A 26,907-nucleotide genomic window follows, 5' to 3' on the forward strand; every position below is an offset into this window, starting at 1 on the left:
ATCCTTTACTATGTTCTTTAGAGGAATGCTGATAAGTTTAGTAGCAAGAATGATAACTACAATTATGCCAGGTTATCTGCTTAGTATATTTCACATATTAGTTCCTTTACTATTCACAATAATTCTATGACAGGGACTAGCAAACTTCTTCTGTAAAAGACCAGATAGTCAATATTTTAGGTTTTGCAGGCTACATGTGATCCCTATTGCTACCAGTGTTGGAAGTACTTCTGCTGCAGCTGCTCCTCCTCCTCTTTCTCTTTCTATAACTACTTCTGTATGTTTTTTTCTTCTAAACTTTTAAAAATAGAGGAAACATTCTTCTATGACAGACCACACATACTCAGGCCATGGCCAGCTTTTGTCTGGAGACCATGGTTTGCTGACCCCTACTCTATGAAATATCTATCAATAGCCCTATGTTATAGATAGGGATGCAGAACCCCCAAGAGGCTAACCAACTTGCCCAGCATGCCTCAGTTAAAGATAGTGTTTTGAACCTCAGGCAACAATATGCTCTTTAAATACCAGCTTCTTATTCACCAAGCTGAAGTACCCTATGTCTCAGAAGGGATTTGATTAACCATGCTAGTATTGTCTTGTTTGTCTCAGAGGCAGCAACTGTGAGATAGTGATGATACAGGCAATGATGATGACAATAGTTCAACATTTGGGTGCTTATTATGTGACAAGCACCCTGCTTCTTATATATGATTAAAAAAAAAATATCCTCACCACAATCCTATGAAAAGGGATTGTTTGCTTTTTATAGATGAAGAAACTGAAGCTGAGAGATCAATATATCCAGGCCACAGAGTTCATGGGTTATGTAACTGCAATTAGCGCACAAGTCTTGCATCTCTAGAACCTGTCTTCAATGCCATGGCACGACACTGCCTTACCATTGAACCTCTTGTGTACTGGGACATGTGACTTTGATTAAAGTTAATTAAAGTTAGTGAAATTTACTTGGCTCAGCCTTGTAAGGGCTAGCAAAAAGAAACCTTCTTAACCATCTGTAACAATGAGCAAAGAAATGAAACAGAAACAGGAAAAATAATGTATGTATATATTGTATATATGGGATATATAGATACAGATATACAAACATAGCTATGAATATATACATATATAATATTTTAAAGATTCTCCAAGTAAATACAGTTAAGGCAGAACCTGAGTTATCATCACGAAATTCAGGAAGAATGACTGCTGTTTTGAAGCATTGAGTGCACTTTGAACACTGAGAAAACTTGGCACAATCCATTAGCTAATGATTTTCATAAGTCTATTGTAGAGGGTCCATTCTAGTCTGTACCATCTTCTTTTAGGTCAATTGTTTCTTGATAAAAAGCAGAGTGGCATTTAGTTAAGGATACTATCAATGATGTTCCTAACCTCAGTGCAAGTGCTGTCTTAAAAAAGTTGATGTCTGGCGAGTTGTTTTGATAGGGAAGCTCTCCTAGAATTATTCTAGAAAATAACGGAAGATACTTGTTAGACATTTCTGGTCTTTTTCTAATAAGGAAGTTTATTTTAATGGGTTATCCTGAACAGGTAGCTTTAGACTAAATTCATTTAGAGCCTTCTCAGCATCAGAATCAATTACAGGCCATCAGGCATAATTCTGAAAAGATTATCATGAAAATGATCCCTTTTTGTGTGTAATATGGTCAGGATGATGTGATGACAGTGTTCTAGAATTACAATTTAATTTTTTTCTTTAAAGGTACACTTTATAGCAGATAGGACAAATGGCTCTTTTGGAACTTCTTCAGCCAGTTTCAGTATTGATCTTTATACAAACAAGTCTGCTGTCTACACAGTTAACTGCAATTTGATCAGGTTGAAAAGATCATTAATAAGGTCTACTAGCTGCATATTTTCCTAAGCAAATGTTCAGTGGCAGGTGGTTCGGCACATTAGTATTCAGCATTGCTTTTCTGGTTTACACCTGTGGGTGAAAACGTCATGGCTCTTCTGTAAAGATAATCTACTTGAGAATATGCTTTTCTTAGAAATAAGGTTAGTGATTGGTACTTGGTAAAGCCATCTTGATAAAACCATCATGAAGGTGGAAGCAATGGATAATGGCTTTTGGTAGGTATATGTGATTTTTTTTTCTTGAGATATTAATACAATTTCTAGGAACAATTCTTAGAACATCAAGGCTATTTGAGCTCCAGCACCTGATGTAAAATGTTGATGATAAGAACCAATAATTTATATATGACATGATGTGAAACAGGTTTTTAATTAAATTAAGAGTGGATTTAAACTCTGTTGTTCAGCCTGTTTTTAAAAAATAGACTCCCACATTCATGTCAAGGAGGTAAAGTGTTCTGTAGTAGAATAAAGTGAAATAATCCACATTGCTTCTTTGAAACCATAGTTTCTTGTTACAAGTAGAGCTTTGGACTGTGGCATTTTAAATCACTTAGCAATGAAATACAAAAAGAAAAAAAATGAAGGATATGTGAAGCCTCGTGGTATAAGGCATCAATTGCTCCTTCTATACCAAAAGAGGATATAATATCAAGTCCAGCATTCCATAATATAACTTGTTTACAACTTATATTTGTTAAGGGATTTGTTAAGGGTTTTCACTTATGCCTAATGTCCTGAAAGTATATTATCAAGACACAACAGTACCTCAAACATTTTGAATTTTGAAATAATTTTTCAGTAATGAATATGCTCCTTAATGCTTTAGTAATTTCATGTTCTCTGCATATATGTAAAATATATATGAGTGTTTCTCTCTCACTAGCATGTGAAGTGATTTACCATGTTTTTTATTTGCAGACATTTCTATCTGAAATGTCCAAGTTGTCTCTCCTTTATCAACTAATAAGCACTTGAAGAGCACTGATAATGAATATAATTTTGAAATGATCATATGCTAGCCCTCTGAATATTCTCATTCTCAAAGCAGAATATTAAGATGTGTCAGTTGAATTATATGTGGCTGAATTAGTTGAATTGAAACCATGTGAGTAAACTTTTGAATGGCCAAAGAAGAGCTGATAAACTTATTAAAGGAAGAAAACACTTCTGCTTCCCAGACACATATGCACTTTTGCACACACAATATCAGTGAAGTTGCTTTTGTTTGAAAGTGAGAAAATCCAACTCAAATTCGCCAAAACTAAAATAAGGAATTTAATCTCTCTGGTAATTGGGCTTTCAAAGAGTGAGGCTTGCTTCAGAACTAAAAAGTTCATGTTCCACTATAAAGGCTATGTCTCACACCATCACTGTAATTCTGCTTGCTTCTGTGATTGGCTCCTTTTTCAGATAATTTCTTCCAGATGTCAACAATATGACTACGGGCATCTTCAAACCTGTATTTTTCATAGAACTCATATTCTTGTAGAAGTAGTGTTCCTTCTCTCCATGAGCACTGCTCATCGGTCATCAGGGAACAATCTGATTGTGCCTTCTGACATGCTTGTTAAAACCCTCTGAATGGCCAGACCTGGGTAATAGATTCACCTCTCTGATTTTAGAGGTACTGGAGAGAGTAAGCCCTTCCCCAAACAATTTAAACTAAGCAGAATTAATATTGAATGGTATATGGTATCTGGAAACAAGGGATGCATTAGGCATATAATTTTATGACACAATAAAAAAAACTTCTAAATCTACTCTAGTAGAGGTGTTTTGTTTTCTATAAAGATGTCCTTGGTGTCATTTTTATTGCTGCTTTGCTTGTTTCCCCAAAATATGATTTTTAAAAGAAAAATCCTTTATGAATAAGAATTACCACCTCTAATCCCACATGAGGCAAGCTAATATATCTATCAGATACTGTTTCCTTGAAGGAAGAAAATGAGACTATAATATGAAGAATTTTCTCCTTTACATTTTTATTTCTATTCGCTAGTGGTATCAGTGAGAATCTTTAAAACATTCAAATTAAGCAAAATCTATGAAAACTCCCCAGTGATAGTACATAGCCCAGTGAACATTTAAATGGAAAAAGTTTTTTTTTTGTTTAAGCATAAAGTAAATTATCTGAAATTGATTGAGCTTGATTTTTCATACAGGAGTTATGTGAAAAAATTATTTGAGCCTTTGTTTATGGAAGAGTCAAAAGTATTGTTTGAAGTTAATAGTGAAATTCTAAACTATGAATTTTTATATTCTATTAAAGTCACCTCTTCCACTTTTCCCCATTTCAAGTGTTCTCCAGAATTTTAATGAGTATTAGCTGGTACATGTTGTTAGGTAAACAGGTCTGATTTAATACATAAATTTTCTGAATATTTAATCTTGGAGTCTGTGATATGAGAGAAAGCTCTATTCATCTATGACATAGAGCTCTATTTGTCTTTCACTGACGTCTCTCTCACTCATTCACTCACTCTTTCTTTGCTTTAGTAAGAGCTACCTTGAAATGTCATGATATTTTTTATATAATAAAGGAAACCAAAATGGAAATATAATAGGAACCAAATGATTCATTTATTCCTACGTTAACTTGAAATAATGAAATGGAATGACCATTTTAGAAATATTAAGATATCTGTTAAAGAAGAAAACATAAAACTATTAAATAATATGGCATAACTATGAAATGATATTTCTACTAAAGTCTAATACACAGTATCTTAAAATCAATCAAACTCTATACTGTTACTTTGTAAATATTTTCACTTCTATGACAATTTTTACTTTTTATAGACAACTATAATATAAATACCTAGTACCTCCAAATTATGCTAATAATGCTTCCTATTCTTTGAGTGTAAAACTAAATTTTAACTTTTCCAAATTCCTTTGATTAATGCTGCAAACATAAAAGTAGGATGAATCTGTCAAAAATGAACAATTTGCACAAACAATTCCAATTTCTCAGGTGACAGCATTTTAGCACACAGAGGGGAGTTGTCAAAATTTCACTATAGGAAGTTGTATTCTATACAATGATATATTTTAAATTATCTTGAAAAGAATTAGGTGGTAAAATTCACTGTCATCATCCTGGGAGAATATCCATATTTTTTAATTTCTCTATGTGCCAATCTGTTCTCTTTATACTTAGGTCATTCTGATCCCATTTTTGTAAGCCTTGCAATACCTTTGCAAGGAACTTCCCACATTCAGGTCTTTGGGGGCATATATTGATCTCAATCAGCTAACTAACATGCTGTCAAATCTTGCTGGGCCATCCTCCTGACAGATCCTCTCACAGATCACTTGGATTGATGAAACAGAAGAGGAGATTCTGAACTAATTATAAGGAAAATAAGAGTCCCCTTGTCTCTTTTCTTTATAAGAACGTTAATTGGACACACAAGCATTTATATATATTCTGCTAAAAACCTCCTCCTCTGATTCTTCATCAGTTTGCTTAACCATATCATTATAGGTGTAAAGAACTTCTTTGAACACTGGAACCATACTGGAGATATTAAAAATTTTTCACTCTTCTCTCAGCTAAGTTGAGCTACACTTAGTTTATTACGACTCTGGTATTGAAAGACCTCATTCTAATTCCCTTATAGATCTGCCTTCTTTAAGGTCTACTGACTCAAGAGCTTATATGAAGAATGCCTATTGGCCATTATTTGAGAGTAATACATGATAAATAGCTTTTACTTTGAGATCTATATTGTCACACTACATCATTGATAACACTTTTTCAGTCAAATTCAGGCTACTACATTTTGTATCTTAGAGCCTTCCTTGCGGGGAGAGGGTTGGGGAGAGGTGTTAGCATTTCGTTGCAATCCACCTATGAACTTTGTTTCCTGTGCCTTTATTTATTTATTTATTTATTTATTTATTTTTATTTATTTATTTTTTTTTTGAGACGGAGTCTCATTCTGTCGCCCAGGCTGGAGTGCAGTGGGGCGATCTCGGCTCACTGCAACCTCCACCTCCCGGATTCAAGCGATTCTCCTGCCTCAGCCTCCCCAGTAGCTGGGACTACAGGTGCATGCCACCATGCCCAGCTAATTTTTTGTATTTTTAGGAGAGACGAGGTTTCACTGTGTTTCGATCTCCTGACCTCGTGATCCGCCCGCCTCGGTCTCCCAAAGTGCTGGGATTACAGGCATGAGCCACCGCGCCTGGCCTGTTTCCTGTGCCTTCAACATGCTTTCTTATTCTGCTTTTTGAATTAGTGCTACTGAATGTTTTCTGATCTATCAGCAGGAAAAGAAAATTTACCACATTATGTTTTTCTTAGCCTGCCAAGATAGGATTTAAAGCAGAACTTTAAAAACATAAGCACAGCAGGCCAACTTCCTTGGCTCTGTCCTCTAGGGAACAAACCTCTTTGTTGTGACTTCCCTGGTTTATAGTTTTACTCTTGTTGTTAGCTTCTGTGGTTCTAGAGGCAAATTTTCTCCTGCTAGTTCTCCTTTGAAATAATTCTAATATTATTTTTCCAGCACCATAACCCTTTATCCTAAACACATAATTTCAATATTTTCTTTATACCAGCAACATTTTCAGTTCTGTTAAATAGATGGATAATAGAAATATGGTGCCAATTAATCCAAGTTTTTCATATTATAGTTTACTATAATGATACAATTGCCCCCTACCTAATAATTGTATTATTTTGGAAAAATAAACTGAGAAAAGTACATTAGGAGAGTATTTTTAAATAGCTACTTTACATAGGGATATTGGGTTAAAATCACTGCTTGGTGAATTGTTATATCCTTCATTTGTTAGAGACCTTTTTAAGAACTCCATGAATGTTTTCTGCTAGAAAATGGGTAGACAGAGAGTTAACATCGTTATCAAATTTGCAACACTTCTCAATTAAACAGAATTAGTTGCATATAAATTTAACTTTTGAAATTTCCCCAGAATTTCAATGTTTCTCTTTTTTATGATTTGTAATGTAGCAATTTTAACATTTGCCTTACTTTCTTTTATGTCATTGATGTGTGTTTTCACCAGAAATACACTGAGCTCTTACGATGTCTAAGAGATTCTGGTGGGTCCTAGGATGACAGAGTACACATATGAGCTGCAGGTGGTACTTCCAACCCTCGTGGAGTTTTACATCTGATTCATCCTAGTTAGTCATCACTGAATGTTTTCATTTAGGTTACTATTCCAATAAAGGCAGGTTAGAAAAGTGAAAGGATGTTTTGGTTTCATTGTCTTTAAAATTATAGCAAATGTTAAAATATTTTAGAAATTCTAGAATAATTAGTGGGTAGCCAAGGTGTGTGTGTGTATGTGTGTATTTATGTTTATATATAAACAAAAGATATATAATGTATATAAATACAATATATAAATTATATTGCACATACTTGCTAATATAAATAGCAAGTATTTGTATGTAATACATATATTATAAACACATATTTGCTATTAGTATTTTTCTATCTAATATACAATTCCTGGAGCATACAAAATTATAAGTATTAAATACATTTTCATAACAGAATTTGAGTATAGAGCCAATTTCATCATTTTTGCTTCCTTGGAATTTGATATTTAGGCTGCATATTGAAAGGGTTAAATAATTGGTATTTTCTTTTGTTGTAAAGTTTTGATAGGTGAATTGATTTGTAAGTAAAAATACAGATTCAAGAAATTCACAAATTATGCCCTTTATCTAAATTTTGGCATAAATAAAATGTCACAGAAAATGCCTCATCTTTTTCTTTTTTCAAAAGTACTATATAATACGATGAATCGTATTTTCAAATATCACAAGAGAATTGGGAGTATAAATGTGACAAATAATTTTGTCTTGCATAGTCACAATGTCTGCTTTGTGTTTGTTCCTCTACTAGTCTTTCCTGAGTCACCCCAAAGAGATTTTACTTCTCAGATATCAATATTATTTTTGTCTTTCTTATAAACAAGAAATAATAAAAATAAGCATTTTTAAACACCTACTGTGAGTCACACACATACTGATTGGGCTTCCTTTCCTTTAGCAAATGGATTTCTCAATTGAAATCAATAATTTTATATTTTTGATTATGAGTTTCAAGAGTTAAGAATTCACCAGTTTATTTTCAGTACTTGGTATCAATCACATAGTAGACCCACATTACATATTGTCCAAATGAATAAATTAGTAATGAGGGAATTAATGAAAGGTCATTCACATTTTTTCTCTTTTGCTATTATTTGTGTTGAGGTGTTATTTTGCTCAATCTTTGCAAAAAATAATTGCTCTAATTTTTTTTAACTTTTTTTTTTTTAGTTTTTTTGTAGTAATGCTTGCTACAATAGATATTTGAGACGTCATGGAATATATTTTTTAATGGTGCTTTCAAAATTAACATTTGTCATTTAACCACCAAGTCTATTTTTCACGGTTATGAAAGAAAGAAAGCCATTTGTATGGTTTTATTCCCCTGTGTATCTGTGAGTACTTGAAATTTATCATAAATATAAAGCATTTCTCACGCCAATGTAGTTTCAACACTGGGACCAAGTGATTCTTCAGGCTAAAAGATTTTCATCTCTTTCAGATTAGTTGATTTCTTCCTAACAGTTGCTGTATCAAATTTCACACTAAATTCATTTTCAAAATGTATTTTCTTAATTTTTAGGTATCATAATGGTATAAAGAAGCCCCTATATTTTAGAGATGCATTCTCGAATAATTTACAGATGAAATTATATGTCCTGGATTTGCTTCAGAATATTCTGGGATGGGGAAAGCAGCATAGGAAGAAGGAGATGAAATAATATAGCCCCAAATTGATTGTTAAAGCTGAGTGATAAGCGTGTACTTTTATTTTTTATTTTATTGGAACATCTCTGAAGTTTTAATTCTTTATTAGTCATCTTTTTGGCATGTGGGTCCCTGTCCCTTATCTGTCTCACTCCTGTGATCTGTAGGCATCCACTCAAAATGTTCCTCCTGTCCCCCATACACTGCCACAGTCTTTCACTGGACTATGACATGCTCTTCCCTCAGATCTCAGCTTTCTCCAGGTACTGATTGTCCATTACTTTACTCACCTCAGTTAGGTGCCGCTGCTGTGCTCTTCTCTCTCTCCTCTATCAAGGTACATATCAGACTTTCCTGTAACTGCTTAGTCCTGCACCTAGACTGAAATCTCTCAATAGAGGGACAGTGTTATCTTGTTCATATGGTATCCTTAATACCGACCACAGAGTGGGAGCGGATGCTGAATAAATACACAGACAAACACATAGTTACCTTGCTTCAAATTACTCCATGTTTTCTGTGCAGCAAGTAAAATCCGCTGAGAGGCCCATCAGTAACCTTTGCACCTCCATCAGTGACTTTATGTTTCGGATAAGTCAAGCATATAGTTGTTTCTCTGCTACCTCATACTTCACTAAATTCACTGCAAATGTGTAGGATTATTAAGATGAAGGGGGGAAAAAAGAAACCAGAATAAAAGGATAGGTATCAAATTGACTTTACACAATTTTTGTTTGATGTTGACTTTCCATTGGTGTTTACATCATCACCTGAGAGCCGACTTTATAAATGCCAGATGGTTATAGTCAGAGTGGGACCTGAAGACAAAAAAAATCAAGCTGTTATAATGCTAGGCATGTCCAATTTTCCATCAGCACAAACAACACATTGACCTATGGGTTTTTGTGTTTGTTTGTTTGTTTGTTTGTTTCAGCAGTAGAGATTATTTCCAACAAGAAATCGGGCTTTTTTTTTTTTTTTAAGGATCAGAGCTACTTTCATAGTATTTTAAAAACTTAGAAAAATTCCACATGGCATTTTTAAATGTAGTATGGTGTGGGTTCCCTCTTCCCCACATGGAGTTATTATTGTAGTAGAGCAGAGAGATATAACTTACTAACATCCAAAACGTTATAAAAGCAAAATGATAATATTATTAAAAACCTCAAGAGTAAAAATATGGCATCCATTTTATTGTCTTTAAAGAGCAGAAATGTCATATCTCTAGAGTAAAATAATCATGATCAACAGTTGAAAAATTTAAAGCAAACAACAACAACAAAAAGGCATAAAATCTGCCTGGAGGACCATCAGCTATTAAACTTGTTTGCAGCACTATATAGAAAATGGCGAAAAGTTGAGTTGAAAAATGGTATAACTGTAGAAATCAATGGGGATTTTATGGTAGTAAAATGTGGTTTTACTTAAAGAAGAAAGTTGTGTTTATTTTCCCAATTGCATAACTTCATGGTTTATTGATATCTTCTTTTATCCATTGGTCAGTGGTGACATTATTAATATTTCTATAAATATGCATAGAATTTAAAATAAATGGGTTAGGGGAAAAGCATCTGATAGCAGCATATTTAGTTCTTTAAGTCTTACTTATTAAAATTAGGTTTGAGCCTTTACCTATGCATTTATCCTTTTAGAGTTTCTCATAAAAGTCAGATATTACCTCTTGTCATCTCTTAAACTCTGTAAGTGCTGTTCATGAAAATTAAATTAGGCCTTCCTTGAGCACCCTATTTAAAATTGCTAGCTGCTCATCGCACTCCAGATACCCTTTAACCTAAGTTGCTCCCATTGACCTTAGCATCTTGCACATATGATATAATTCATGTATTTATTATGTTTACTGCTTGCTTTCTTCTCACTCTGCATAAGAATATGGACTCTCATTTATTATGGTGTTTTATGTATGCCAAACACCGAGAAAGGCACCTGTGCCTCATGAATTAATGAACAAAAGAATGAACTTCTAGTAATAATAACAGCTAAAAATTACTAAGTACTTTTCTGTGTACTAAAAACTGTTTTAATTACTACCTACGTATAAATTCATCTAATCTTCAGAATGCCCTTATGAGGTCAGTGTTGTTATAATCCTCATTAAACAAACGAGGAATTTAAGGCACATAGAAGTGAAGCAACTTGATAATTACTTAAATAGTTGGGTTATATGACTAATAAATGGCAAAATCTGGGTAGCAACACAGGCTGTCCTGCTTCTGAAGCCATGATCTTACCCATTAAACTAAACTGCCTCTAGTTTGTAAACCTAGCGTTATGGGGAAAAATGTACATATTTTCATAAATAAATAGCTCTCAATATTTTTAATGTCTCAACACACATGAAGGATTATGCCCCACGTACCTTGAAAATAATGCCATTCTAAGAGAGTCTTGAGAGGTAAGAGGATGAGGATTATTGGCAGTTCTCTGCAGGCTAGCTGTAAAGCATCTGCTTTCTAACCAGCCTCTGATACCACTGTTGACAACCACCACCTTGATTTGACTTTTGAAAAAGTCCCCAACTTCTCAAGATGTCAGTTTTCTCATCCTAAAATGTAGATTCTGGAATATAAGCTATCAAATGTCTTTCTCCGTCCTAGTTCCATGGTTCTATAAAGTATTTCTATGCTCAGATGTACAGGGAAAGTATTGACAGTAGAAAGAGAGAAGAGCCTTTTCCTGTACCAAATGCTGGTCAAGTCCTTTTTCTATTTGAACTTTAGTAGAAATTGCACAGGGTTTCTCAATAAAATAGAAATTAAATGAAAGTTGGAAAAGAGATTGAAGATAGAAAAATAAAGGCTTTTCCAGAATCCATAATGGCCTTTGGATTTTTGCTACAGCACTGGGCTTTATTGAGCAGGCCCTTGAAATTTTTACTTCTCTGGCATACCTGACAGTGGAGAGTCCACGTTTTCATTTCAGAACAAAAGGTTTTTTTATGTGTTTTTCTGTTCATTAGAGCATTTTTCTCCTTCTACCCTCTCAATGGGGACATAATTTCTGGCTCAAATTCTCTGCTTTATCTTTCTATACTCAGGGAGATTGTTCCTTTCCCAGATTTTATAGTCATCATAATATTAATCATTTCAAAATCTGGTCAATGCTGACTTAACTATACTATCACCTCAAAAACAAACAAACAAACAAAAACCTCAAAATGTCCCCATGTCATTGGGACCTTTATATCCTGTTATCGAAAAGTAAGATAGTACAGCCTCTTCGGAAATCAGTCTGACAGTTTCTTAAAAGTTTACCCATAACATTACCATATGACACAGTAAATCCACTCATGGGAATATATCCAAGAAAAATGCACATAAAAATTTGTACATAGAGGCTCAAAGCAGCATTGTTCACAATAGTCAAGAAGTGGAAATGATTCTAAATGTTCATCAATTGATGTATGGATAAATTAAATGTAGTATGTCTATGCAATAGACTATTATTTAGGAAAAAGGAGTAAAGTACTGCTTTGTGTTACAACAATGGATGAGTTTTTTTTTAATTATGTTGAGTAAAAGAAGCTGATCACAAAATATACAAACATATATTTTATAATTTCATTTATAGGAAAAGTCCAGAATAGGCAAATCTACAGAAACAGAAGGTAGATGAGTGGCTGCCTAGAGCTGATATGGCTTGGGAGGAAATGAGGAGCGACTACTAATGAACTTAGGATTTCTTTTGGTTTTGATGAAAATGTTCTAAAATTGGTTGTAGTGTTTGCATAACTGTGAATATATTAAAAACTATTGAATTGTTTACATTAAATGGGTGAGCTGTGGTATGTGAATTATGCTTAATTCAGATATATATACATATGGATGTAGTGTGTCTATATCTCCATATAAATGTGTCATTTTACCTAGAGTAAATGTAATCGAAACTAATTCGCAATCTACCCTGCCATTTCTCTATTGCCACTATTCTTTGGTATTAAAATGCACATGTATTAACAAAGTACATAGTGATGGGGGTTGTATGAAAGGAGATTAGGTATGTATGAGTGTTTTGTGGTTATTGTCTTAGGTGATGAAAGCAATGTTCCAGTATTATACAGAAAACCAATATTATTCTATATGCTAAGGTTATTTTGAGCCAATATAAAGTAAATGATATATTTGTATTTACAATATTACATACGATATTACGATATTGTAGTTACGATATTTACAAGATCTACAAAGTTTCAAACCAATCTGTATGTAATGACACAGGGCCTTAAAAATAGAAATGTCTTTGCAACCAATATGTTACATAGGACAAGAGGTGATTTTATAATTAAGATTATCTGAAGTTCTCAATAAACTGTATTGAACATGAACTGCTAACAGTACACAATTAGTGTCTTATTCTTTTTATAATAATGTTTTTAGTATTCCACTGAAACATGGCCAGTGAATGTGCAATATTCTTAGTTACCATTATGAGGGACTCTGTATATTACAGTCTCTCCACTGTCTCTGCTGTTAGCTGGAAAAATGCTGGGAGCAAAGGCAGCTACTATCAACAGGGAGCCATATTAATTATTTGAAATGTGCCTCATAAGAGGAATCAGCGGAGCTTATTACAAGTCGAATATTACTTGAAATGGGAAAGTTACTCCAACTGTTATCATAATCTATGTATCATTAACTTTCCTTGTTTAGGAAAAGAGATTAACAACCCTGTAAATTGCTATAGTAAATGTGTGAAATATATAACTGCATATTCCCATTGTAGAAAGAAAGTAGTGGGTCCTCCACTCCCACTCAAACCTTCTGTATATAAAGTACCTTTAGAAATTGAACTGTGTAATTATGCTTTCTTGCCTCAAAATCCTAATTGCTTATTATTATCAGTATACAAACAATGGCTACTTTGAAAATTAGATAATTCTTTTATATTTAAGCTAACAATTTTTCAAATCAGCATCTTGGCCTTAAAATTCACTTTAATGCTTTCATCTCATAAAACAGAAAGTGTATTACAAATTTGTGTGTTAGCTAACAAAATGTTTTGCAAGGAAGACAGAATTAATCCATCTACTTCCCTTTTAAATTGTGGTTAGTTGTTTTTTTCATTAAATACAGTAGGAATACTTTTGTGTTCAAGTAGTGGAGGTGAATCTTAAAGGTAAAATATAAATTAATCATAATTGTAAAGTGATCTAAATAAACATTTCTCAAAGTGTTATTTGTACATTGGGTGCCAGTCTGCAGACTGTTTATTACTGATCTGCACTGAGGTAGGTGCAGAAATTGCGAGAGTTTAGAAATATTTACAGCAAGCTGGGCTCAGTGGCTCAAGTCTGTAATCCCAGCACTTTGGGAGGCCAAGGCGAGTGGATCACGAGGTCAGGAGTTCAAGACCAGCCTGGCCAACATGGTGAAACCCCATCTCTACTACAAATATAAAATATTAGATGGGCGTGGTGGCACACATCTGTAATCCCAGCTACTCAGGAGGCTGAGGCAGGAGAACAGCTTGAACCCTGGAGGCGGAGGTTGCAGTGAGTTGAGATCACGCCACTGCACTGCAGCCTGGGCAATGAGCAAGATTCCATTTCAAAATAAATAAATAAATAAATAAGAAAGAAATATTTACAGCAAATAAATATGCCACTTAATATTTATTTAATCTAACAACAAAAAATAAGGACTTTTGTTTTATATGTCTTTGCTTTGAGTTTTTTTTCTTATAACTCATTTTTATTGTGTTTTTAAAGTTATCACTCCATAACAAATTTGTAATTTCACAACAACAAAAAAAGAAGAAACATAACTCAGATTGTTGGAAAAGCACTGCTTTAATTGGGTGATGTTCGGATGACACATTGTTTTTATGTTTGGGCAGATATGTCTACTCTTTAATTTAGGCTATTAATTCAGTTTGGAGTGAAATAGTGTTATATCATAAAAACAATTTAAAAAGGGAAAAGACATACGTATGATGTCTTCTTAACAATTTGTTTTGGGTCCACAGGGCAGGCACATCATGGACAAGTTTCATACATTTCTCCGCCAATTCACCTTGACTCTGAGCTAGAAAGACCCTCTGTTAAAGGTGAGTTTTTCTTTATATGAAGAAAAAGTAACTCTGCTCATTCTTTGATGAAAGCAATGATGGTTGTACATATGTATTTTGTAATGCAGTGCCTGTTCAAAAAGCAGGGGTAAAATGAAGTATGTGAGTAATCTGGAGATAAAGCAAGTCTCATTTATAAACAAAAATGTGAAATATTTCTCTGAGAAATGTTTGTAAACTAAAATACAATGGCTTCAATAAATCAGTATTTATAGTGATTCAACTAGTGGAGGACTAGTTGAATACCAATTTAGATTTAGAAATTACCAGATAACCGTTAACTTTTTTACTGGGACCTTCTTTTTCTACTATCTTATTTTTTTTTTTTTACATTAAGATGTCTTAATCTAAATCATATTGACAGATTTTTTTCCCCTGAAAAGTAATATTTTATTATTATTCTAAGTCATTTTATATTAACATCATTTAGTTTTTAAAATATGTGTTAAAATTATGTATTTTTAAATTGGTGCCACCTGTTTCAGTTAAAGATTTTTGTAAATAGTCATACAAAATAAAAATTAAAGGTAACATTTACTGTCTCATAATCTAAATACAAATTTAATCCTCCTGCTTTTAAATAAATATTTACCAATGATTTTCAAAATGTTTCTTGTTCTCACAGCTGATATGTGGACATGCTTTTTAATTTTATAAATACCAAATATTCCAAGGTTAACTTTTTGGTTTTGAGTAATGCAGTATATTTTCTTACATTTTCAACAGTATTAATTACTTAATAAATTAAAACTCATGAGGTCTGACGTTTCTGAACATGTTTTCTGTATAGCCTATTTCCTCTCCTGGGAGTCTCTTATCCCTTCTTGCCTAATTGATAGGTTTCCACCAACATTTCAAGGCCCTCCTCTATATTAGTTTCTCTATTAAGTTTTCCCTGACTGTGTGATAGGGTGGACCTATGTGCACGTGTCAGTTTTCCAAATGCCGCCTGTGCTTGCCTCAGTTATTACACACCTAAGACACTGGATTTTATTTTGTGGCATACATGATCCTTTCCCTTATCTGTATGCTCTGTGAGGGCACAGAATGTCATATTTATTATTTTTCCCTGAGCCATCGGGTCTGCGCTTGGCACATAATGGAAACTCATACAATGATTTCTAAGGTACTGACAGTGAAGGTGACCGCCTAGATCCTGAAGGATGCATCTGTGCTTTATTAGAGAAAAAGAGAGGAAAAATGATAAGCGAATCCCATGAAAGGGAAGAAAAATGAGATAAAACATAAATATGTGAAGGTATTTTTAAGGAATTGTGCTGGATGCACAGTAAAAGGGGAGCGGTTCTAGAGGAAAAGACTAGAGAGATGTAACGAGGCAGATTGTGATGGATTCTGTATCCCATACCAAGGAGTTTGTGTTTTATCCTGGATAAAAACATGAAATATTTTAAATTATTTTTCCCCAGGTCAGTTGGGTGTTACATCATAACATTATCAGTTCGAGATATGAGAAACATATTTCTGGTGTTAGTGTAGGTAATAAGCTGATTGGAGAAGAGATTGGCAGAAGGAGGCTTTTCAGCAGTTCAGATAAAAGATGATGGGGAAATTAGGTGTGTGTCCTGGCAATGTGAGGATCTGATAAGTTATTTTGAAGAGACATGACATTTCAATGAATAGATACAGGGAAAGGGGCAGAAATGCCTCTGAGGTTTCTATATTGATTAACTGCTTGGATGCTACTTGGTTTGAATGTTTGTATCCCTGCCAAAATTCATATTGAAACTTAATCATCAGTGCAACTGCATTAGTATTAAGAGGTGGACATTTAGGAGATGATTACGGCATAAGGCCACTGACCTAATGAATGGATTGATGACCTTATAAAAGGCCTAGAGGAAACTAGGTAGGTCCTTTTTGCTCTTAGGCCTTTTGCAATGTGAGGACACAGCAGGAGGTGCCATCTTGGAAACAGAGAGCAGCCCTCACCAGACACTGAATCTGCCAGCCCCTGACGATGGGCTTCTCAGCCTCCAGAACTGTGAGAAAATAAACTTCCATTCTTTATAAATTACCCCATCACAAGTATTTTGTTATAGCATCACAAACGGACTGAGATGGATGCTTATGACATAATTGTTCATCATGAGAAATAAATATGAATTATAAATCAATGCATTGCTTTAGACACATTAATTCATAGTAGAAGATTCCTACTAAACTTGAAAGGTAAGAGTCCTACTAATGTGAGTTGGTGACTTCGGTAGAATTCAGTTCCTCATACAAGATCCCAATATGATTTGAAAAAGAGTACTACTTTAGGGTCATGGATAAGACAGTATAGTGATCTACTCCAAAACTTAGTGACTTAAAACAAGAAATATTTATTATAGTTTTGAGAGTTAGCCAATGTCCACTGAATTAGCTGGGGCTGAATGTTTTATAGTTAACAGGCTGGTTAGTTTTGCAGAGGAGGGGACTCACTCACGTTTTTGAAAATTGCCCTGGTGTCTCTAGGGTGATGGTCACATGTCTCTCTCTTTATTCAGCAGGTTACTGTCATGTTTGCTGATGTCCCATTAGCCAAAGCAAGTCACAGAGCAAATTCAATTTAAGAGAGCAGAAATAGATTATATCCCTTGATTGAGGAGCCACACTTCAAAGGACCATGAATATAAGAAGAGGAATTAGAACAATTTATAAACTACCATAGGTAGTCATATAAAAAGTAAAATAAATGTAAAATCAAACGACAAAAAAACTGACTGATAAAGGGATTTGGAAGCCAATAAATGGCCAGGCAAGGGGCTCATCAGTTTGTAGTTCCAAGTGACCTGTCTGGAACAGCCGCTGTGGGGATGCCAGCTGCAGCAGGGGAGGCATGCCTGGGGCTTCATGCTCTGCTGAGCCGGCAGGGGCCAGGAACAGGCACCCCCTACCAAGTTAAAGGGACAGCTTCCTAGTAGCAGCTCTGGACCCAGCCATCCCTGAGCTCTCAGGGACCCAGGAAGCCACCACTGCCACTGCAGGCTCAGAAGTACCTGTTCCTGCTCCCTGACCTCTCCCTGCTCCTGGTGCCCACTCCAATTTTGGAGCAAAATTGAAGCCAAGCGTGGGCATTGTTGCAACCTGACTGGGTGTGCATGTGCTTGGGGTTGTGCTGACATCCCAGCCCCACTCCACCACCTTGACACTCTCTGAAACTTTGAACACTGACAAGCTCAGGGATGGAAGCCCAGGTTTGGGGGGCTGAAGGTAGCTTGGCACAGGTCTGCAGACCCCCCCCCCCCCACCAAGGCATGAAAACCCTGGGCACCATGAATGGCATGTTGAAGGCAGGAGGCAGACAGGTTCCCGGGCTGAAAGGGCCGGGTGTCCGGTTTAAACCCCACTTTCAAGGCAGGGATGGCCTGAAGCCTGTGGGTTGGGCTGCCAGTTCTGGATGGAGTCTGTGGCCTGGATTGAGAACTTATGGTCCTTTTGTTCAAGCCCTCCCATGGCTGCCCATGGACCAATTGGCATGCACTTCCACCCTTCTGAGCCCATAAAAACCCCAGACTCAGCCATACTTGGACAGACGTTGGGATGACCTGCCTGCAGAAGGGAGCCACCCACTGCCAGTCTCCTCTCCACTGAGAGCTGAACACTCATCAGGATGACCTGCCTGTGGAGAGAAGCTACCCACTTCAGGTCTCCTGAGAGCCATTCTGTCCCTCAATGAAGCTCCTGTCCACCTTACTCACTGTATTAGTTTGTTCTCACTCTGCCAATAAAGGCATACCTGAGACTGGGTAATTTATAAAAGAAAGGAGGTTTAATGGACTCACACTTCCACATGGCTGCGGAGGGCTCACAATCATGGTAGAAGGTGAAAGGCATATCTTATGTGGTAGCAGACAAGAGACAATGCAAGAGCCAAGCAAAAAGGGAAACTCCTTATAAAATCATCAGATCTCATGAGACTTATTCACTACCATGAGAACAGTATGGGGGAAACTGCCCCCATGATTCAATTATTTCCCACTGGGTCCCTCCCACAACACATGAGAATTATGAGAGCTACAATGCAAGATGAGATTTGGGTAGAGACACAGCCAAACCATATCATCCCATCCCAGCCCCTCCCAAATCTCATGTGCTCACATTTCAAAACCAATCATGCCTTTCCAACAGTTCCCCTAAAGTCTTAACTCATTTCAGCATTAACTAAAAAGTCCACAGTCCAAACTCTTATCTGAGACAAGGCAAGTCCCTTCTGCCTATGAGCCTGTAAAATCAAAAGCAAATTAGTTACTTACTAGATATAATGGGGGTAGAGGCAGTAGATAAGTACAGCCATTCCAAATGGAAGAAATTGGCCAAAATGAAGGGGCTACAACCACCATGCAGGCCCAAAATTCAATCGGGTAGTCATTAAACCTTAAAGCTCCTTTGCCTCCATGTCTCACATCCAGGTTACACTGATGCAAGAGGTGGGTTGTCATGGTCTTGGGCAGCTCCACCCCTGTGACTTTGCAGGGCACAGCCCTTTATGAGCTGGCATTGAGCATCTGCAGCTTTTCCAGGTGCATGGTGCAAGCCATCAGTGGACCTACCATTCTGTGGTCTGGAGGACAACACTGTGGAGCTGTAACACAAACAGGGCTGAAGGGGGATGGTGCTAAAATATTCGTAAGAAATCTGGCCCCATGGTTCAGTCACCTCCCACTAGGCCCCACCTCCAACATTAGGGATTACAATTTGACAGGAGATTTGGGCAAGGACACAGATCCCAACCATATCAACCAAAGTCCAACAGTCATTTCTGCTTGATATCTACCTCAAATTGTGCTCTCTACCTTAAAATGGTTGTCCTGATAGATTCTACTTCTTATTCGATTTAGGAGGAATTATATAAATTCCTCTGCATGCACAGATCAGACTCTCCTAAATTGTTCTGTGATTAATTGTTCAATCCAATTGCAGTTATAATCACTAGCTCATGTGACCCTGCCCTGCAATTTTCAAAATAAAAATAAAATTAATTAGACAAATAAAGAGATTTGTACAAATTACCAAAATAACAATGCAAAAACTCTTACTCATTTTTCTTAAGATTATCTTATATTTAAAGACAAATATTAGAAATGAGGTAGAGTTGGTATAATAATATCATTAGCTTGGAACTATAAAATATTTCCTTTCAACTATAACCCCTCATCTTAATTTATAATTTAAAAATATACTGTACACTATTGTTGATATGTATATGCATTCAAATTATACATGCAAAATGTACATACATCTCTATATCTATCTGCTCATCTGTTGACAAGGGACATGGGAGAGAGAGGAGGAAGAGAGCGAGTTTCTCTTGTATGTTATGGGTTTTTATTTGAATGTAAAAAATATGACAAATTACGTTCTTTAAATAATTGAAATTCTATCTCCAGTAATTTTTTTTGTGAGATTATATAGCAATATCCTTTGAATTGCCTACAAACTAACACTAGCTAACCATCTTACCTTTTCTTTTTCTATTTTTCTACTGTAATTTCATACGTATTGAAAATATGAGCAACATCTCTAGGTTTTCCCCTTACTCCATTCACCCATGACTCTCTACATCTTTTTCTTTCTCTTCCTGAAGCAATTTCACCAGTCTACATATATGTTAATGTTTCAGGAATTATTGCTTTATGTATTAATTCCTTTTATAGTTTATGGACTTGACTATATTCCTATAGGAAAATCATACTTAATTTTCTGTTATTCATCAGTCTAGCAATATGAAACAAAAACATTTAAAATATATTAACATAGTCATAAATATTAGCAGAGGAAACTCAATCTAACAATGTGAACTCAATCTAAAAATAACAGAGAAGACTGCTTCAGATACTTTGCCATTTTATTCTTTTGTCATATGAAATATCTTGGATTACTTGATACTTACTTTTTATAATAGTGATTGTGCTTTGAGTGTTTGAGACAATAAAGTAATTATTGGTAACTTTGAAACTGAGTTTTAAAACTCTATTTTGAAAATTATATACATATATAAAATCACATTCTAACCCCCTTCTTCCCCCTCACCTGTGAATCATTTTAGTTTTAATCCATGGGTCACCATTCTACCTCCTTTCAATTCGCTTGATTTATTCGACTTTCACTTTCATATTTTTAGGGAAAAAGTATTTTGTGTTATTGTTACATTTGTTTACCATAGTCACAGTGTGTTTCTTTTCTGATAGTGTTCATTTGAATTATGTTCAACCTGCTCTTAGTAATCAAAAGGAAAATATAGTAACAAGTTACAAAATACCTTTGAATAAAATGTTGTACTCTCTGCAGTTGCAAAGTAGCCACTGAATTTATATACTAATGAGCAAAGTTGAGAGATTCTGTTCTTTAAATCTAATGTGTTCGTACATAGCATTTGGCTGCATAATTTATGGCTGTGATGGCTTTATGTGCATTCTTCAATTTACAGATTTTATTACTGAATAGGGGTGTAAATTCCAATAGTTTACTAGTGCATTAAAATCACAATACATTACAAGGTAATTAACTAGAGCTGCCACTATAAATAGAAAAATAGTCACAGCCTTCACTATAAACGACTTAATAAAAATAAGGTTCTGAATCAGCATTCAGCATTATAGTAATTCCTCTTGCCATACGTCTCATTAATCAGGACTTTTTTAAAAAGCTTCTTCTCAAAGCACTATTATTTTTAAAACTTTCATTATTAAAACAAGTTTGTTATAATTTTGTAGTTAATTTAATGGGATTGATTATATATTTCTGTACGCAAGTAAGATCTACATGCTTTTGAGGCATATTTCCCAGTTTTACTAAAGTGGAAATGAAAGAAATACTACTTCGGTGATTTTATGGCAGATTTGTAAATAAGTACATGAGAGTTCTTAGCAGGACTCATTAAAAGTTAGAGTTCTGAAGGTCATATGTCCCCACCAACTCTCCTTTCTCCCAACCGTTATTTTGCCTCCTGACTACTCACATGCAAAATGCCCTACCCTAGAATCAAATCTTAATATATTACAGACAGAGTCACTCAATGAAGGTGGTTGGGTGGGAATTTGTGTTAAAGGTAAATCAGAATCCTAAGCAGAGGCATATATTATTTGAGGTTTACATATACCAGTTGGGACACATCCTTCAGTTGAGACTTTGTTGTTTTTATTTTGTGTTTGTCTGTTTCATTGTTTTCCTGTACAGTTTGGTGACAGCCTTAGCAGTCCATTATAGAATCCATTATAGAAATTCTTCACAGCATCACTAACAATTGAAGTTAGACAAATTCCTGCCAATTACCAAAAAAAAAAAAAAAAAAGACATTAACTTCTAAAAAATGCCCTCCTAATGCCATACTAATGATGCTATTTTGAATATTTTCCTATATAAAAAATTGACAATTATTGAATATATTCCACCTTCCAATATAGTGAACTACTTTTTATTTATTTATTTATTTATTTATTTGTTTATTTATTTATTTATTTTTTGAGACAGAGTTTTGCTCTTGTTGCCCAGCCTGGAGTGCAATGGCTTGATCTCGTCTCACCACAACCTCCGCCTCCCGGGTTCAAGTGATTCTCCTTCCTCAGCCTCCCGAGTAGCTGGGATTACAGGCATGCACCACCATGCCTAGCTAATTACTACTTTTTATAAATCTAGTGAATTTTGTTGGGTTTTTTTATAGGTAGTGTCTTAATAAGAAGTCTAATATTGGATGCTAATTTATACATTTGCAAACTGTTGACAGTTATGATATATACTCTGAGACAAAGCTAATTTTTCACATTTGAAAAATTACAATTATTTTTACCTTTTTTCCCTCAAATAAACCAAGTAATATAAATATGGTTCAACTGACACATAATCAATGAACTAGAGAAATGCCAGGCATTAAGTTTCATGTGCAAATTGAATTATATTCAGCAAATCCACTCACTGAAAATATTTTTTAAAGTTCAAAATAAGCAGGTGGTTCTGCCTAGTGCATCTATATTAGAAATAGGCTGTAGCCAAAGATTTACTATTACAAATTGGAAACATTAACACCTGCTATTATCTAGTTAAGTATAAAAACAGTCGAAATTAACTAAAATAAAATAGGAATGTCACATCTGGCATTCTCCTTGAAGAGTCTGCAGGCCAGTTCTCTAATATTCTACGATGATGCTTTTCTAACTTATCTGATTAGCAGACATTACAGGGGGAGGGAACATAAATTCCCTAGTTTTACCTACTCTTCTCCCAATAGAATACAAACGAAACTTGCATATAACGGAGTTCTTTGATTGCATTAAATTAAAACTCTTTTCCTGTGTTCCTATGCTTGTAAAGCCAAACATTTTTATTGTTATTTAGAGTACACTGTGAACACCTAGAAGATACAGGCAGAGAGTATAGCTTGTTAATATTAACGGTAAAGACAATTCCCATTTATTAAGTATGTACCTTGTATCAAACACAGAAAAATATATTTCATACACATTGTCTCAATTAGTCTCACAAGGATCCTATTACTTTTTTATTCAGACTTAATGATCATGATTATCATATCTCTAGGTTCCTGCATGATACCATAATACTTTATAATACTAATAGAATGTGTTGACTTTAATTAAAATTATATTCTAAACTTAATGCTAAAATGTATTTGTTATTCAATATTGTCAGGAATAAGTATGAGGGTTTTGCAAACCTGTAACATACTTTCCAATTATAGGTTTTTGTTTAAAAGTTAACATTTATAATTTGAAATAATTTAGCATACTCTTTCTGCCCCTTGTGGTCTATAATTCATATACTGAGAATAATTATCCCAGAGAGTAGAATGATCTGGTAGTTTTTCATATTGGTTGTTAGTCAGTTTGTCCTGGTGGTCTCTAAAGGAGCCAATTGAGAAGGGAAAAAGAATTTGTTCAAATTCTCTTTCCATGCTGGCTGATGGAATGGTTATTCTTAGTATTCAAAGGGTGTTAAATAAAGGCTTGGTACTGTCATGCTCTGAACATTCTTCTTCAGGTTTGATGTGACTGGTTGCAGATCCAGTGATAATGATGCTCACGTTGAATACAGTGGCTCCCCGATGTTGATTCTCCCCTTGATCACTGTTCCAGAGAAGAGAAATCACTGTTCCAGAGAAAAGAAAGTCACCGGGATTAGTATGTCTCTAAGTAGCTATGATCAGGCTCAGTTCTCTCAACTTCACCTCTCCCCAAATCCCATGCGGAGATTCCTGTGTTCTCTCTTCTGAGGTTATTCACTGGCCCAGCTTCCCTAAGATTGCTACTATAGGTTCCAGGGCTTATTTCTCATTGTCTTACTTTGTTTTTAGTCTCTTTCAGAAAAGTGGTGGTATAGCTGTGTTTTTTTGTTCTGAAAAAATATGTTTAATGTCTAAATATCACAAGTTTTGACAGAGGTATTGCTAGTCAGTAATGACAATGATAATAGCTAATATTTACTATGCAAATTAACTGTGAAATCATGTGTTTGATCTAATATAATTCATATGACTCCCTCTCTTATAATTCCTTCCCGAAGAGAGCTAATCATACTATTCTTTAGGATTTTCCATAGATATCACCTTTTTGAGTGGTATTAACATTTATTTGTTCCCAGCTCTATTCTAAGCACTTGACATGGATTATTATTTCATTAATCTCCCAAATATCATGAAATAGGTAGACAATTATTATTGTCTTTTTGTGAATGAGAAAACTGAGACATAGAGAAGTTGTTTAACTTTATAAAGGTAAGACAGATAATACTAAGCCTTGGAGCCAGGATTCAAACCTAGGTATTAAAAAAAATCTGCTATGGCAGTTTTTCATGTATATGAAAGGAACTACGACTTAGTGCCCAGTCCTATACACTGTACTAAGTAATCCATAGGCTGGGCATGGTGGCTAACGCCTGTAATCCCAGCTCTTTGAGAGGATGAGGGGGGTGGTTCACGAGGTCAGGAGATCAAGACCATCCTGGCTAACATGGTGAAACCCTGTCTCTACTAAAAATACAAAAAATTAGCTGGGCGTGGTGGCACGCACCTGTAGTCCCAGCTACTTGGGGAGGCTGAGGCAGGAGAATTGCTTGATCCTGGGAGGCAGAGGTTGCAGTGAGCCCAGATCGTACCACTGCACTCCAGTCTGGGCGACAGAGCGAGAATCCGTCTCAAAAAAAAAAGTAATCTTTAATGAAACATTATCAGCAAGGAGTGGGAGGATCTGACTATCCATAGTATAGTATTTTTAAGAAAATCTTTCATCATCTTATTTATTCATCTTAAGAATGCAATATGACACAAGTAGTTTGAAGACATATCTACTATTTACTCACCAAGTGACAAATAATTTTTTGTGTGCTTGTTGTTTTCTTTAAAACATCTTTGTTCTAGTGCCACCCTTTACCTTTTACTGTTTTCATAAACATGTACGCTTCTCTCAGAAAACGTATCTAAAATCATACTGCAAAAAGAGGTCAGGCATTCTAATGATGTATTACAAATTGTATACAAGTTAATGTACTAAATCTTGTAAAATATTAAAATGTAATCTTTGATAAAATATCCTATTTTTTAATGTTTTCAATATTCTCTTCCCCAAAATGGTTAATGTTTATGTAATCACCAGAAAATAGTTTTATACCCGTATAGTAAAAATTAATTGTCTTACTGCCTGGAGCAGACAGCTGGCTGGTAGTTGTGTTGGCTGTTACCACCAAAGCCTGAGGGGGTGAAGTAAGAGGTCTGCCTTGACCTCCAAATGTAACAGTCTGCTCAACCCCACCTGCTGCATATCCACAGCTGCAAGGTTCCAAATTATTTGGCATACTCAACATAACACATGCATATATGCACACACACACATGCCACTCTGGAGAATCTTCTTGAATATAACAATTCCTACTTGACAATAGATGTAGAAGATATGTATGATAAAAATTATATTCGGTAATCCTTGCATTTTAAATTTTACTTTTAGAGTTAATTGCCTGCATTTAAAGATCTTCTTTTTTGAGATCTTTTAGTAGGGGTTGGAATTGTTATACATACAACATCAGCCTACATAGTACCACTTGGAGAATGAGAATCTTTTCTCCTTAGCTGCTAAAAGGCATATGCTTCTTAGCATCGACACTAAGAAGCACTTGGCTCTCTCAATGCCAAGAAGCACTTTTCTCTTTGCTAGTGATAGCTCTGGGTCCAGCAATTATTTCCATTTTTTAAGACTGCAGCAAAAAACAATATGCCTCGCTGTTAAATGTGGCATCAGAACATCCTAGGTGGAGTCAAATGTAAGTACATAGCATGAATACCAATGCCTGCATTTAATCCTGATATCCCACTTTGCTGAGTATATGGCCATGGACAAAACCATTGCCACAGTGCCTCAGATTTTCCAACAAATCTCCTTCCCAAGATTAAGTATCAAATATTGGTATGATATTATATGTGAAAATGCTTTATAACCTAAAGAATGCTATACAAATATTGGTTAATTTAATTTAGCAGCAATACTCTATTGCTCTAGTCAAAAGCTTAGTATATCTCACATATAGTAAGATCAAATAAAAAAGTTCTCAACAGAGTTTTCAATATTTTTATCCTCCTTAAATCCTATTGGTTTAATTATGATACAATTTTAATTTTATATAAAAACATATTTGAGTTGTGAATGGCTATATACTAAAAATCTCAAATATATGTAAAATAATTTATTACAGTCTTATGTAAAACTACACATGAGTTTTTCTCTGTGTCCTTCCTAAGGGCTCCAACTGTCCTTCAGTATTCAACAAATATTTTTTATGCAGTTGCATCTTATGCATGGGTTAAATTCTGAAATTATAGGGTAAAGCTAACCAAAAAAAGATCTTGAAAAATTTCTTAAATTATTCATGACATGTGGTCCAATAGTGAGTTATTCCTTAATATCAGAAAATGTGAATTTAAAAATGTCATAAAATTGCTCTGGGGTGTCTAGATACCTATGTGATGAGGGGTGTAGGGAGACACAGACAGCATTGAAGGAACCTGATCACTGCTCCTCAGTCCCTCTGGGCTGTGTGGTCACTGAGTAAAATGGCAAATAGAATCTTTTCTCAAACTCTTTTTAAATGCATACAGTTGAATTTAAATCAAATTAATTTTTGATGTGACGGTACAATAGTGAATGCCT

At 35.0% G+C, this 26,907-nt stretch overlaps 1 protein-coding gene across 59 annotated transcripts in view; it reads left to right on the forward strand.

Moving 5' to 3' along the window:
- Positions 1-26,907, forward strand: part of ADGRL3 (adhesion G protein-coupled receptor L3) — an 878,010-nt gene that overhangs the window by 598,833 nt on the left and 252,270 nt on the right. For all 59 annotated transcript variants that reach the window (NM_001387552.1, NM_001322402.3, NM_001387522.1 and 56 more), the window contains one exon: positions 14,651-14,731. In NM_001387552.1, coding sequence (NP_001374481.1) covers positions 14,651-14,731 — 81 coding nt within the window. The remainder of the gene's footprint in view (positions 1-14,650; positions 14,732-26,907) is intronic.

The sequence above is a fragment of the Homo sapiens genome, chromosome 4, assembly GCF_000001405.40.
Source record: "Homo sapiens chromosome 4, GRCh38.p14 Primary Assembly".
NCBI classification, from domain to species: domain Eukaryota; kingdom Metazoa; phylum Chordata; class Mammalia; order Primates; family Hominidae; genus Homo; species Homo sapiens.